Source organism: Homo sapiens, chromosome 19, assembly GCF_000001405.40.
Source record: "Homo sapiens chromosome 19, GRCh38.p14 Primary Assembly".
Classification (NCBI taxonomy): domain Eukaryota; kingdom Metazoa; phylum Chordata; class Mammalia; order Primates; family Hominidae; genus Homo; species Homo sapiens.
The window spans coordinates 36181402-36195667 of NC_000019.10; the positions used below are offsets into that span (position 1 = coordinate 36181402).

The 14266-nt window shown below is 46.4% G+C and overlaps 1 protein-coding gene across 8 annotated transcripts in view, besides 4 other annotated features; it reads right to left on the reverse strand.

Moving 5' to 3' along the window:
• Positions 1–658: 658 nt before the first annotated feature.
• The window catches only part of ZNF565 (zinc finger protein 565), a 63869-nt gene continuing 50261 nt past the window's right edge, over positions 659–14266 (reverse strand). For 4 of the 8 annotated variants that reach the window (XM_017026343.2, NM_001042474.2, XM_011526512.3 and 1 more), the window contains 3 exons: positions 13629–13755; positions 12832–12927; positions 659–2332 (listed from right to left, as the gene is read on the reverse strand). In XM_017026343.2, the coding sequence (XP_016881832.1) occupies positions 1065–2332; positions 12832–12868 (1305 nt within the window). In that variant the 5' untranslated portion in view covers positions 12869–12927; positions 13629–13755 and the 3' untranslated portion in view covers positions 659–1064. The remainder of the gene's footprint in view (positions 2333–12831; positions 12928–13628; positions 13756–14266) is intronic. The other 4 variants (NM_001366188.1, NM_001366190.1, NM_001366189.1 and 1 more) reach the window with 2 other exon arrangements.
• Positions 5721–6260: an enhancer, noted in NCBI's record as "H3K27ac-H3K4me1 hESC enhancer chr19:36678024-36678563 (GRCh37/hg19 assembly coordinates)". NCBI's record gives its function as "activates a minimal SCP1, AML or CMV promoter by ChIP-STARR-seq in primed H9 embryonic stem cells {active_cell/tissue: H9 hESC(primed)}" and the evidence as "EXISTENCE:reporter gene assay evidence [ECO:0000049][PMID:30033119]".
• Positions 6261–6799: an enhancer, noted in NCBI's record as "H3K27ac-H3K4me1 hESC enhancer chr19:36678564-36679102 (GRCh37/hg19 assembly coordinates)". NCBI's record gives its function as "activates a minimal SCP1, AML or CMV promoter by ChIP-STARR-seq in primed H9 embryonic stem cells {active_cell/tissue: H9 hESC(primed)}" and the evidence as "EXISTENCE:reporter gene assay evidence [ECO:0000049][PMID:30033119]".
• Positions 11267–11767: an enhancer, noted in NCBI's record as "H3K4me1 hESC enhancer chr19:36683570-36684070 (GRCh37/hg19 assembly coordinates)". NCBI's record gives its function as "activates a minimal SCP1, AML or CMV promoter by ChIP-STARR-seq in naive and primed H9 embryonic stem cells {active_cell/tissue: H9 hESC(naive and primed)}" and the evidence as "EXISTENCE:reporter gene assay evidence [ECO:0000049][PMID:30033119]".
• Positions 11768–12268: an enhancer, noted in NCBI's record as "H3K4me1 hESC enhancer chr19:36684071-36684571 (GRCh37/hg19 assembly coordinates)". NCBI's record gives its function as "activates a minimal SCP1, AML or CMV promoter by ChIP-STARR-seq in primed H9 embryonic stem cells {active_cell/tissue: H9 hESC(primed)}" and the evidence as "EXISTENCE:reporter gene assay evidence [ECO:0000049][PMID:30033119]".

Consider the following 14266-nt stretch of genomic DNA (forward strand, 5'->3'; position numbering starts at 1 on the left):
GACTTTGTCTCAAAAAAAAAAAGTAAACTGAGGGACAGAGAGTTTGCATAACTTGCCCAATGCTATGTAGTCTATAATCGGGGGAAGTGAGCACTGCTAAGTAAAGTATACGCCATGATGAAAGGCACAGTCATAGAATCTTTTTTTTTTTTTTTTCTGAGATGGAGTCTTGCTCTGTCGCCGAGGCTGGAGTGCAGTGGTGCGATCTTGGCTCACTGCAAGCTCCGCCTCCTGGGTTCACGCCATTCTCCTGCCTCAGCCTCCCGAGTAGCTGAGACTACAGGTGCCCGCCACTAGGCCCAGCTAATTTTTTCATAGTTTTTAGTTGAGACAGGTTTCACTGTGTTAGCCAGGATGGTCTCGATCTCCTGACCTTGTGATCCGCCCGCCTCGGCCTCCCAGAGTGCTGGGATTACAGGCGTGAGCCACTATGCCCAGCCAGAACCTTTTTTTTTTTTTTTTTTTTTGAGACAGAGTTTTGTCCTTGTCAACGAGGCTGGAATGCAATGGTGGGATCTCGGCTTGCTGCAACCTCTGCCTCCTGGGGTCAAACGGTTTTCCTGCCTCAGCCTCCTGAGTAGCTGGGATTACAGGCACCCGCCACCATGCCTGGCTAATTTTTGTATTTTTAGTAGTGATGGGGTTTCGCCACATTGGCCAGGCTGGTCTCAAACTCCTGACCTCAAATGATCTGCCGGCCTTGGCCTCCCAAAGTGCTGGGATTACAGGCATGAGCCACCACGCCTGGCCACAGAATCTTTTAATCGGGTCATTTTTGTATTAGGAATTGTCAGAAATTTAACATATTTTGAATGGCAAGAAGCAGCTTTTCTATATTCATTTTTTTTTAGCATAGATTATCTGATGCTTAGGAAACAGTGAGTGAGGCAAAAAGAATTCCCACATTTATTTAATTTTCTTTGGGTGTGAGTTTTCTGATGTTCTATGATGGAAGTGACAGGTGTTTTCTGACATTAATTACACTACATTAAAAATTACCTAGTACTGAGCCAGATGTGAACTCCACATAAAGGCTTATCTTTATCCCTTACACTCAAGGCTTTCTAACCAGTATGAATTCTGTAGTGTTCAATGAGTTGTGAGCCAAGAATAAATGCCTGCCCACACTCTCTACATTCGTAAGGTTTGATACCAGGATGAATTCTCTGATGTTCGGTAAGTTGTGAACTACGAATAAAGGCCATTCCACACTCCCTGCATTCATAGGGTTTCTCACAAGTGTGAATTCGCTGATGATGAGTCAGTTGTGAAACACGAATAAAGGCCTTCCCACATTCCTTACATTCGTAGGGTTTGTCACCTGTATGAATTCTTTGATGTTGAATGAGGTATGAGCTACGACTAAATGCCTTCCCGCAGTCCTTACATTCATAGGGTCTGTCGCCAGTATGGACTCTCTGATGTCGTGTGAGCTGTGCGTGCTGTCTGAAGGCCTTCCCACATTCCTTACACTCATAGGGTTTCTCCCCAGAATGAATTCTTTGATGTCGAGTAACTTCTGAGCTGTGAATAAAGCCCTTTCCGCATTCCTTACACTCGTAGGGTTTCTCACCAGTGTGGATTCGCTGGTGTACAGTCAGCTGTGAGTGCTGTCTAAAGGCTTTCCCGCATTCTTTACACTCATAGGGTCTGGCCCCTGTGTGGATTCTCCGATGCACAGTGAGTTGGGAGCCACGAATGAAAGCCTTGCCACAGTCTTTACATACGTAGGGTTTCTCGCCTGTGTGAGTTCTTTGATGCAGAATCAGCTGTGAATGCTGCCTAAAGGTCTTCCCACATTCTTTACATTCATAAGGTTTGACACCAGTATGAAGTCTCTGATGTAGAATAAGTTCTGATGTACGACCAAAGGCCTTCCCACAGTCCTTACAGTCATAAGGTTTCTCACCCGTGTGAATTCTCTGATGCTGAACAAGGTGTGAGGCACGGCTGAAGGCCTTCCCACATTCCTTACATCCAAAGGGTTTTTCACCAGTGTGAATTTTCTGATGTTGAATAAGGTGTGAGCCACGGCTAAATGCTTTCCCACATTCATGACATTCCATCAGTTTCTCACCAGTCTCCCTGCTCTGACGTACAGTGTGAGACGTGTGATGCTGGAACACGGGCATATGTCCATAGGTGACGTTCACTTGCTTAAAATAGCACTCTTCATTGACTTGTCTCTCAAACTGGCCTTCGCATTCCCAGTCAGCTCTAAAATCGGAGCCCTCCAGGTCACTGCATTTAAGGCTTTCCATTATCTCCCAGTTGAATGCCCCGATTTCAAAAATGTCTTTTTGTAGAAATTTCTCACACCTGGACTCCAAGTCTGAAAAATAAGAAAAAGATAAATACAAGCTGTGATCCTTCTCTATGAGAAATAAAAAATTCTATAGTAGAGGCCAGGCACGGTGGCTCACATCTGTAATCCCAGCACTTTGGGAGGCTGAGGCGGGTGGATCACAAGGTCGGGAGTTCACCTGGCCAAGATGGTGAAACCCTGTCTCTATTAAAAATACAAAAATTAGCCACACTTGGTGGCAGGCACCTGTAATCCCAGCTACTAGGGAGGTTGAGGCAGGAGAATCGCTTGAACCTGGGAGGCAGAGGTCGCAGTGAGCCGAGATTGCGCCACTGCACTCCAGCCTGGGCGACAGAGCAAGACTCTGTCTCATAAAAAAAAAAAAAAAAAAAAAAAACTATAGTAGAACAGGGAGACAAAAATAAATAACCATAAAAAGTGAATGCCTTATATACATCTCAAATATTATGCAATTTCAAAAAAGCAGATGAAAGCACACCATGTGAAGAGCTCACATGGTGCCAGAAGGGAGCAAGAAGACAAATTAAGCCAGGGGTTCTAAATTTGTTTTTTGCTTTGAGACGGAGTCTTGCTCTGTCGCCCAGGCTGGAATGCAGTGGTACAATCTTGGCTCACGCAACCTCCGCCTCTTGGGTTCAAGTGATTCTCCTGCCTCAGCCTCCCGAGTAGCTGGGATTACAGGCACTGCTACCACACCCAGCTAATTTTTGTATTTTTAGTAAAGATGGGGTTTCACCATATTGGCCAGGCTGGTCTTGAACTCCTGACCTCAAACAATCCACCCGCCCTGGCCTCCCAAAGTGCTGGGATTACAGGCGTGAGCCACCTCGCCTGGCTGAGAACATTTTTATCACTCCAAATAGAAACCCCCCCACCCATTAAGCAGTCACTCCCCATTCCCTATTCCCTCCAGCCCCTGGCAACCATTACTGGCACAGAGCTACTAATTCTGTCTCTATAAATTTGCCTATTCTGGACATTTCATGTAAATAAGGCATCTATATTTTCAACACTTCCCACCACATAAAGTTGATGTCCATCAAAATGAAAATCTCTGCTTAAACATTTCACTGCCTTCCCATTTCGGTGCATTAAGAATTAATTCCAAAGGCCAGGCGAGGTGGCTTATGCCTTAATCCCAGCACTTTGGGAGTCCAAGGCAAATGGATCGCTTGAGGTCAGGAGTTCAAGACCAGCCTGGCCAACATGGAGAAACCCTGTCTCTACTAAAAAATACAAAAATTAGCAGGCATGGTGGCAGGCGCCTATAATCCCAGCTGCTTGGGAGACCGAGACACAAGAATCACTTGAACCTAGGAGGCAGAGGTTGCAGTGAGCCAAGATGGCACTACTGCACTCCAGCCTGGAAGACAGAGTGAGAGTCCATCTCAGAAAAAAAAAAAAGGGCTGGGTGCAGTGGCTCATGTCTGTAATCACAGCACTTTGGGAGACTGAGGTGGGTGGATCACCTGAGGTCGGGTGTTCGAGATCAGCCTGACCAACATGAAGAAACCCTGTCTCTACTAAAAATACAAAATTAGCCGGCCGTGGTGGCACATGCCTGTAATCCTAACTACCTGGGAGGCTGAGGCAGGAGAATCACTTGAATCCGGGAGGCAGAGGTTGTGGTGAGCTGAGATCGCACCACTGCACTCCAGCCTGGGTGACAGAGCGAAACTCTGTCTCAAAAAAAAAAAAAAAAAAGAATTACAAACTCACTGCCATGGCTCACAGGGCTCTTGGCAAAGCAGATCCCTGCTTGTTTTTGTCACCACTGTGTCTCAGCAAGAGCAGGGCCTCTTCACATTGAACATTCTCCCCTTTCCTCCCAGTGTACAAAACCACCAGCCATCTATGAGCATGTAAAATAAATCTAGGCCTTTTCCATCTCAGATCTCTCATCAGGTTCTTCCATCTATCAAGAATCCTGTCCTGGGCTTTTTGCTGCTTTTCTCATCCTTAAGGTCTCAGATGAAAACTCACTCTCTATTTTTTTTTTTTTTTTTTGAGACAGAGTCTTACTCTGTCCCCCAGGCGCTCACTGCAACCTCTGCCTCCCAGGTTCAAGTGATTCTCCTGCCTCAGCCTCCCGAGTAGCTGGGATTATAGGTGCCTGCCACCATGCCTGGGTAATTTTTGCTTTTTTAGTAGAGATGGAGTTTCACCATGTTGGCCAGGCTGGTCTCAAACTCCTGACCTCAGGTAATCCGCCCACCTCGGCCTCTCAAAGTGCTGGGATTACGGGCGTTTGCCACTGTGCCTGGCTTGTCTTTTTTTTTTAATATTTGACATGGGGTCTTGCTCTGTCTCCCAGGCTGGAGTACAGTGGTGCGATCTCAGCTCACCACAACCTCTGCCTCTGGGGTTCAAGCGATTCTCCTGCCTCAGCCTCCCGAGTAGCTGAGATTACAGGCATGTGCTGCCACGCCCGGCCAATTTTTGTATTTTTATTAGAGACAAGGTTTCACCATGTTAGCTAGGCTGGTCTCCTGAACTCCTGACGTCACGTGATCCAGCCGCCTTGGCTTCTAAAAGTATTGGGATTACAGGCGTCAGCCACCATGCCCGGCAAAAACTCACACTTTCAAGAAAGCTCTCAGCCTGACAGCCCTAAACACACGCCTTTATCCTTTCTCCCATTTCTTGTACTCTGTAACACTTTTGTTGTAATTAGATTTTCATTTACATATTCATCTGCTGTTCTGTTTGTTTTCTTGTTCCTGAATCTTCCCCAAAGATGGAAATACTGCCTTTTTCACTAACCATTGAAACCAACCCAGCTGGGCGTGGTGGCTCATGCCTGTAATCCCAGCACTTTAGGAGGCTGAGGCAGGTGGGTCACTTGAGCTCAGGAGTTCGAAACCAGACTGGGCAACATGGTGCAACCCCATCTCTACCAAAAACACAAAAAATTAGCTGGGCATGGTGGCAGGCACCTGTGTTTCCAGGTATTCAGAAGGCTGAGGTGGGAGGATGGCTTGAGCCCAGGGACAGAGGTTCAGTGAGCCGAGAATAGTGCCACTGCACTCCAGCCTGGGCAACAGAGCAAGAACTTGTTTAAAAAAAAAAGACAAGACGGCATTTGTCAGATTGGATAAAATACCAAAATCTAGGTGCACAGTAGTAACAAGTAACACACTTTAAGACATGAAGACCTAAGGTGTTTGAAAATAAAAGGTGTGGCCGGGTGCGGTGACTCATGCCTGCAACCCCAGCACTTTGGGAGGCTGAGATGGGTGGATCACCTGAGGTTGGGAGTTTGAGATCAGCCTGACCAACATGGAGAAACCCTGTCTCTATTAAAAATACAAAATTATCTGGGCATGGTGGCACATGCCTGTAATTCCAGCTACTCGGGAGGCTGAGGCAAGAGAATTGCTTGAACCCAGGGGGCGGAGGTTGCGGTGAGCCAATATCGTGCTATTACACTCCGGCCTGGGAAACAGGAGCGAAACTCCATCTCAAAAAAAAAAAAATAGACTTTAAAAACAGAAATCATCATTTTGGGTTAAGCAGGGTAGCTCTATAATCAAGAAAGTAATTCCATTCAGCAGGAAGATTTATGTTTCTAAAGTTATATACACCTAATAGCCTCCTAATATATATATTTATTTTTATTTATTTTTTGAGACAGAGTCTCTTTTTTTTTTCTGAGACGGAGTCTCGCTCTGTCGCCCAGGCTGGAGTGCAGTGGCGCGATCTCGGCTCATTGCAAGCTCTGCCTCCCGGATTCACGCCATTCTCCTGCCTCAGCTTCCCGAGTAGCTGGGACCACAGGCGCCCGTCACCACGCCTGGCTAATTTTTTGTATTTTTGGTAGAGATGGGGTTTCACTGACCAGGATGGTCTCGATCTCCTGACCTTGTGCTCCGCCCACCTCGGCCTCCCAAAGTGCTGGGATTACAGGCATGAGCCATGGTGCCCGGCCGAGACAGAGTCTTGCTCTGTCGCCTAGGCTGGAGTGCAGTGGCATAATCTTGGCTCACTGCAACCTCTGGCTCCCAGGTTCAAGTGATTCTCCTGCCTCAGCCTCCCGAGTAGCTGGGGCTACAGCCGTGTGCCACCACGCCTGGCTGATTTTTTGTATCTTTTAGTAGAGAAGGGGTTTCACTGTGTTAGCCAGGATTTTCTTGATCTCCTGACCTCATGATCTGCCCACCTCGGCCTCCCAAAGTGCTGGGATTACAGGCGTGAGCCACCGCGCCTGGCCCAGCCTCCAAACATATAATGCAAAATTCAAAAGACACACAAGAAGAAATTAACAAAATCGTCATCTTGGAGATTTCAATTCACCTTTCTCAGAAATAGGCCAAGATGATAAAAATTTATAAAGAATATAAATTTAGGGGCCAGGCGTAGTGGCTCACGCCTGTAATCCCAGCACTTTGGGAAGCCAAGACAGATGGATCATGAGGTCAGGAGTTCGAGCCCAGCCTGGCTAACACGGTGAAACCCGTCTCTACTAAAAATACAAAAAATTAGCCTGGCATGGTGTTGTGCACCTGTAGTCCCAGCTACTCAGGAGGCTGAGACAGGAGAATCACTTGAACCTGGGAGGCGGAGGTTGCAGTGAGCCAAGATCCCGCCACTGCACTCCAGCCTGGGCGACAAAGTGAGACTCAAGGGCTTCAAGGAAAAATAAAAGAGAGAGAGAAAAAAAAATTAAAAACAAAAAACAAACAACTCCAAGAACAGATGAGGGGGCCGCATGTGGTAGGTCATGCCTGTAACCCCAGCACTTTGGGAGGCTGAGGCGTGCAGGTCAGTTGAGGTCAGGAGTTCGAGACCAGCCTGGCCAATGTGGCGAAACCCCGTCTCTACTAAAAATGCTAAAATCAGCCAGGCATGGTGGCGGGTGCCTGTAGTCCCAGCTACTCAAGAGGCTGAGGCAGGAGAATCTCTTGCATCTGGGAGGTGGAGGTTGCAGTGAGCTGAGATCATGCCACTACATTCCAGCCTGGGCAACAGAGTGAGACTCCGTCTCAAAAAAAAAAAAAAACAAAACAACAACAACAACAAAAAACAGATGAGTGAATAAACAAAGTGTGTATATAATATGTACACATGTATATTAGTATTTATACATGTATACATCTACATACACACATACAATGGAATATTATTCAGCCATAAAAAGAATAAAATTCAGAGACATTCTACAACTTGGATAAAACATTATCCTTAGTGAAATAAGCCAGATACAAAAGGCCACATACTGGATGATTTACATGAGATACCTAGAATAGGCAAATTCATACAGACAAAAAGTAGAACAGAGGTGACCAGGGACTGGAGGAAGGAAAATAGAGTTATTGTTTAATGGGTACAGAGTTTCTGTTTGGGATGATGCATAAGCTCTGGAAGCAGAGTGTATAATGCTGTGAATGAACTAAATGCCACTGAATTATCTACTTAGCCAGGCATGGTGGCATGTGCCTGTAGCACCAGCCACTTGGGAACCTGAGGTGGGAGGATGGCTTGAAACTGGGAGGCAGAGGTTGCAGTGAGCCGAGATCGTGCTACTACACTCCAGCCTGGGCAACAGAGCCAGAACCTGTCTCACAAAAATAAATAAATAAATATTATGTAATTTTTTTTTTTTTTGAGACAGAGTCTCGCTCTGTCGCCCAGGCTGGGAGCGCAGTGGTGTGATCTTGGCTCACTGCAACCTCCGCCTCCCGGGTTCAAACAATTTTCCTGCCTCAGCCTCCCAAGTAGCTGGGATTACAGGCATGTGCCACCATGCCCGGCTAATTTTTTTTTTTTGTACTTTTCATAGAGATGGGGTTTCACCATGTTGGCCAGGCTGGCCTGGAACTCCTGATCTCAGGTGATCTGCCCACCTCAGCCTCCCAAAGTGCTGGGATTACAGGCATGAGCCACTGTACCCGGCCCCTTATGTAATGTATATTTTATCACAATTTTTAAAAATCTAATAAATAAAAGATTATTATTTTTCAGAACTGCAAGAAATTAGAAAACACACCAACCAAATATTCTGTGAAAGACAAGAACACTTTTATGGAATCAACAGCAATAGGCTTAATATTTTAATACGGAATTACAGTAGAGTCGTACCCATAAAGTTGTTTTTGTTTTATTTTGTTTTGTTTTGTTTTTGAGATGGAGTCTTGTTCTGTTGCCAAGGCTGGAATAAAGATGCGCGATCGATCTTGGTTCCTTGCAACCTCCGCCTCCCGGGTTCAAGCGATTCTCTTGTCTCAGCCTCCCGAGTAGCTGGGATTACAGGCACCTGCCACCACACATGGCTAATTTTTGTATTTTTAGTAGAGATGGGGTTTCACCATGTTGGCCAGACTGGTTTCGAACTCCTGACCTCAAGTGATCCACCTACTGGTCTCCCAAAGTGCTGGGATTACAGGTGTGTGCCACCGCGCCCGTCCATACATTGTTAATTTATGCATATTCAATTAACTTTGCTAAAAAAAATACATACAGAATGTGGTAGGTGGGATAACGGCACTCAAAGATGTCTGTGTCTTTATTCCTGGAACCTATGAATGTTGTCACACAGCAAGGGGAGTTGGAATTCAGATTGCTAATCAGGGCAGGGCACAGTGGCTCACGCCTGTAATCCCAGCACTTTGTGAGGCCGAGGAGGGTGGATCACCTGAGGTCGGGAGTTTGAGACCAGTCTGACCAACATGGAGAAACCCCGCCTCTACTAAAAATACAAAATTAGCCGGGCGTGGTGGTGGGCGCCTGTAATCCCAGCTACTCGGGAGGCTGAGGCAGGAGAATCACTTGAACCAGGGAGGCGGAAGTTGCGATGAGCGGAGATCTCGCCATTGCACTCCAGTCTGGACAACAAGGGCGAAACTCCATCTCAAAAAAAAAAAATTAAAAAAAAAAAAAGGCTAATCAGTTGACCACCACAAGATGGCGAGATTATCCCAGTTTATCTGGGTGGACACAATGTATTCACAAGGGTCCTTGGAAGTGAAAGTGGGAAGGCCAGGTGCGGTGGCTCATGCCTGTAATCCCAGCACTTTGGGAGTTTTGGGAGGCCTAGGTGGGTGGATCACTTGAGGTCAGGAGTTTGAGACCAGCCTGGCCAACATGGCGAAATCCTGTCTCTACTAAAAATACAAAAATTAGCTGGGCGTGGTGGCGCACTCCTGTATTCCCAACTACTTGGGAAGCTGAGGCAGGAGAATTGCTTGAACCTGGGAGGCTGAGGTTGCAATGAGCTGAGATCGTGCCACTGCACTCCAGCCTGGGTGACAGAGTGAGACTCTGTCTCAAAAAAAAAAAAAAAAAAACACATAAAAACAAACTTTTTCTGTGAAGGGCCCAATGGTAAATGTTTTAGGGTTTGTTGAACACATAAAGTCTCTACAGCATATTCTTTTTTTTTTTTTAACACTTTCAAAATATCAAAACTGTTCTTGGCTCTAGGGCTGTATGAAAAACTGGTTATGGACTGCATTTGACCCACAGATTGCAGTTTGCCGACCCCTGGTCTAGGGCACAGGGAAGTAAAAGATGGTATGGTAAAGATGTTAAGGTCTTGCTTTGCTCAGAAAAAGTTCAAAGATATGATCGATTTCCTACCATTTTTCTTTCTTTTTTTTTTTTTTTTTTCCCGAGATGGAGTCTCACTCCTGTTGCCCAGGCTGGAGTGCAGTGGGGCAATCTCGGCTCTCAGCTACCTCTGCCTCCTGAACCATTTTTCAATAAAAGGAACCAGCATTCTTTTGAGAACTGGCTGATTTCAGGGCTGAGGCAGGAAAAATCTGAAATAACCATGGAACATGCTGTGGTACCAGAAAATGTGGAAGTATATAAAAGAGAATGTGGGTGTGTTGAGAGAACCCAGGAGCCAAGCTTAACGAGTTTTCAAGGGCCAAAGCCTGAACGATTCGAGCAATGAAATAAACAATGAAAGTAGTGACTACAGCCCATAGAATAAAATAAATACCCACGAACTCATCGTGATATAAAGAAATCATTGAATGAACAAGTGAATGGAAGAGGGCTAGGGACAGTTCTTCCTTATTGAAGAATTCCAATTAATAAATGGTGAAGGAATAAGGGACACAGAAAATCAACATTAGACAAGTGACAGAGTAATAACTGGTGCAGACAAGGTCCAGTGATGGATGCCAAAATCGGAGTGGGAGGAGGAAAAGCAGCACATTTGCCTAGTGTGAAAGTATTTCGCCATAAGATATTTATCAATTACGGATGGAAACTTCACAGGGGAGAAACAAGACAGGCCCTATCTTACCAAGTGATCAAACTGAACAGCACCTATCTTTTTTTTTTTTTTTTCTGTTGCCCAGGCTGGAGTGCAGTGGCGTGATCTTGGCTCCCTGCAACCTCCGCCTCCCGGGTTCAAGCGATTCTCCTGTCTCAGCCTCCTGAGTAGCTGGGACTACAGGCACCCGCCACCACGCCCAGCTAATTTTTATATTTTCAGTAGAGACGGGGTTTCACCATATTGGCCAGGCTGGTCTCGAACTGCTGACCTTGTGATTCGCCCGCCTTGGCCTCCCAAAGTGTGAACAGCACCTATCTTACCAAGTGATCAAACTGAACAGCACCAGTAATAAGCCATGTTGATGTCTGATATGTGATATACAGAGAAGAACATAACATCACTTCTGTGATATTCTTGCTAAAATGCAGAATCTCACTGTGAGAAAACATTAGACAAACGTAAAGTGAGAGACAATCTACAAAAAAATACTCATTAAGAGGATCAGCTGGCTGGGTGCAGTGGCTCATGCCTGTAATCCCAGCACTTTGGAAGGTTGAGGTGGGCAGGTCACTTGAGCTCAGGAGTTTGAGACCAGCCTGGCCAACATAGTGAAACCCTGTATCTACTGAAAATACAAAAATTATCCAGGTGTGGTAGCGTGCACCTGTAATCCTAGCTACTCAGGAGGCTGAGACAGGAGAATTACTTGAATCTGGGAGGCGGAGGTTTTAGTAGAGATGGGGTTTTACCATGTTGGCCAGGCTGGTCTTGAACTCCTGGCTTCAAGTGATCTTCCCACCTTGGCCTCCCAAAGTGCTGAGATTACAGGCATGGGCCACTGTGCCCAGCCAATAAAATGGTTTTTTTTTTGGTTTGTTTTTTGAGATAGACGTTCACTTTTGTCGCTCAGGCTGGAGTGCAATGGCATGATCTCGGTTTACTGCAATCTCCACCTCATGGGTTCAAGAGATTCTCCTGCCTCAGCCTCCCGAGTGGCTGGAATTACAGGCACCCACAACCATGCTCAGCTAAGTTTTTTGTTTGTTTGTTTGTTTGTTTTTTGAGATGGAGTCTCGCTCTGTCGCCCAGGCTGGAGTGCAGTGGTGTGATCTTGGCTCACTGCAAGCTCTGCCTCCTGGGTTCACGCCATTCTCCTGCCTCAGCCTCCTGAGTAGCTGGGACTATAGGCGTCTGCCACCGCACCCAGCTAATTTTTTGTATTTTTAGTAGAGACAGGGTTTCACCATGGTCTCGATCTCCTGACCTCGTGATCCGCCCGCCTCAGCCTCCCAAAGTGCAGGGATTACAGGTGTGAGCCACCACGTCTGGCCAATTTTTGTATTTTTAGTAGAGACGGGGCTTCACCGTGTTGGCCAGGGTGGTCTTGAACTCCTGACCTCAGGTGATCCACCCACCTCAGCCTGCCAAAGTGCTGGGATTACAGGCATGAGCCACCATACCTGGCCAAGAAAATAAGTTTTTCTTTTTTCTTTTTTTTTTTTTTTTTGAGACAGAGTCTCGCTCTGTTGCCCAGGCTGGAGTGCAGTGGCGCGATCTCGGCTCACTGCAAGCTCCGCCTCCCGGGTTCACGCCATACTCCTGCCTCAGCCTCCCGAGTAGCTGGAACTACAGGCGCCTACCACCACACCCGGCTAATTTTTTTGTATTTTTAGTAGAGATGTGGTTTCACCATGTTAGCCAGGATGGTCTCGATCTCCTCACCTCGTGATCCGCCCGCCTTGGCCTTCCAAAGTCCTGGGATTACAGGCGTAGAGCCACTGCGCCCGGCCAAAAATAAGTTTTTCTAAGGGATGAAGACACTTGTAGAAAAAAGGATCTGGCTAGGTACCATGGTTCACACCTGTAATCTCACTTTGGCCTCCCAAAGTGGGAGGATCGCTTAAGCCCAAGAGATGGAGGCTGCAGTGAGCTATGATCACGCCACTGCACTCCAGCATGGGTGACAGAGTGAGATCCTGTCTCTTAAAGAAAAAGGATACAAAGTACAGGTAAAAAGTTGGCCACTGGGGAAGAAATAGGTACATCTCTTTTTAAAAAGAAAGGAAAATGTGAGAGAACAGAGACCAGAGAGGAATTAATGGGAGTAGGCCAAGGTTCTCTTGGAAGCTGACGCTAATAAAGTCTTTACTCGCCACATCTTCACGTTTCAGGCCTTTCTTCCACAGTAGGGCTTTGAGGGAACTTCCCACAGTAACTCAAGTTACTCCTGTCAGTCGACTCATCCAGGGACCTTCCCCTGTCGAAATCGGCCCTCGCTTACCTGGGCACCATGGTCCTGTCACATCATTTGCAATCATCCAGGGCTCTTTCCCTTGCTCCAATAAGGAGACGACATCAGGCTTAGAAATGGAGAGTCCTGTTTACAGGAAAAGAAATGGGGTGTGATCAGACCGCTCCAAAATCCAAACCCAGTTCCCTGGTCACCATGGAAAAGACGCAATTACAAGGTAGGTGGAAGGTTGTCCAAAGGATAGGAAGACCGAGCTGCCCAGCAGAATGACTTGTTTCTAGTTCCACAAAGCACAAAACAATTTTTCAGTCACCAGAAATTCAGTCAGAAACTTGTAAGTTGCCCTAGAAATTCATAATGAAGAAACCAGAAATTCCAGAAGGGTAGTCCTGAATTATGTGGAGTAAATGTGTGGTGATCACTCTCCATGAACCCCTCCTTCCCCTCCAATCTATTCCTTGATGCTCCTGGCCTTGTTCTGTGCCCAGCTCTGGGATCCCGACAGCTCACCGTAAGGACTGCATTACCCATGCCCTATGGCTTCTCATTGGCTTTGGCAGACAGAAAGCATCAGCTGGAGATCAGTGGACAGGAGGAGAGAGAGCACCAGGCATTTCTTACCCTCCTCTCTCCCTCCTTTGACCCAGGAGCTCTGGAAGTAGCTACAGCTATTGCTGGCCGGGCCTCTCTCTATGGCTGTAGTTTGTAGCGTCTCCTGTGACAGTTTCCTCTCCTCACCCATTTAGGCAGAGATGGAAACTGCACCCCATGGTTGTAGTCCCTGTTGCCTTGCTTTCCGTCTGGCCCGTGTGATACAATCTCCTTACCTAGTGAGGCCAAGTGACCAAAGTTCTCCAGAGTCACCTCCCTGTACAAGTCCCTCTGAGCAGGTTCCAGGCACTTCCATTCTTCCAGAGAGAACTCTATGGCCACGTCCCTGAATGTCACCAGTCCCTGAAACAATAAACCCACGCATTAGTGTACATTAAGAAACTTTTTTCATTTATTATGAAAATTTTCAAGATGCACAAAAGTACAGAGAATAGTTGACAGTAATGGCCCCCCGATATGCACCAGTCTGCTTCAACAGTTAACAAGGTGTACCCTGTTTTATCTCTTCCCTTCTATCTTTTATTCCCCATGTACTGTGAGGCAAATCCCACATGCCAAACATCATAATACTTCACCCACAGATACTTTAGTATCCAACAGATTATCAACAACTTCTCTTAGAAAAACACATAATAATCAGAATATCATTATCATACTTAATAAAAGTATCAATAATTTCCCAGTCAACAGATTAAATTCTAATTGCCCCAGTGTTCTCAATTTTTTTTCTTTTCTCTTTTTTTTTTTGAGACAGAGTTTTGCTCTTGTTGCCCAGGCTAGAGTGCAATGGCACGATCTCAGCTCACCACAACCTCCGCCTCCTGGGTTCAAGTGATTCTCCTGCCTCAGCCTC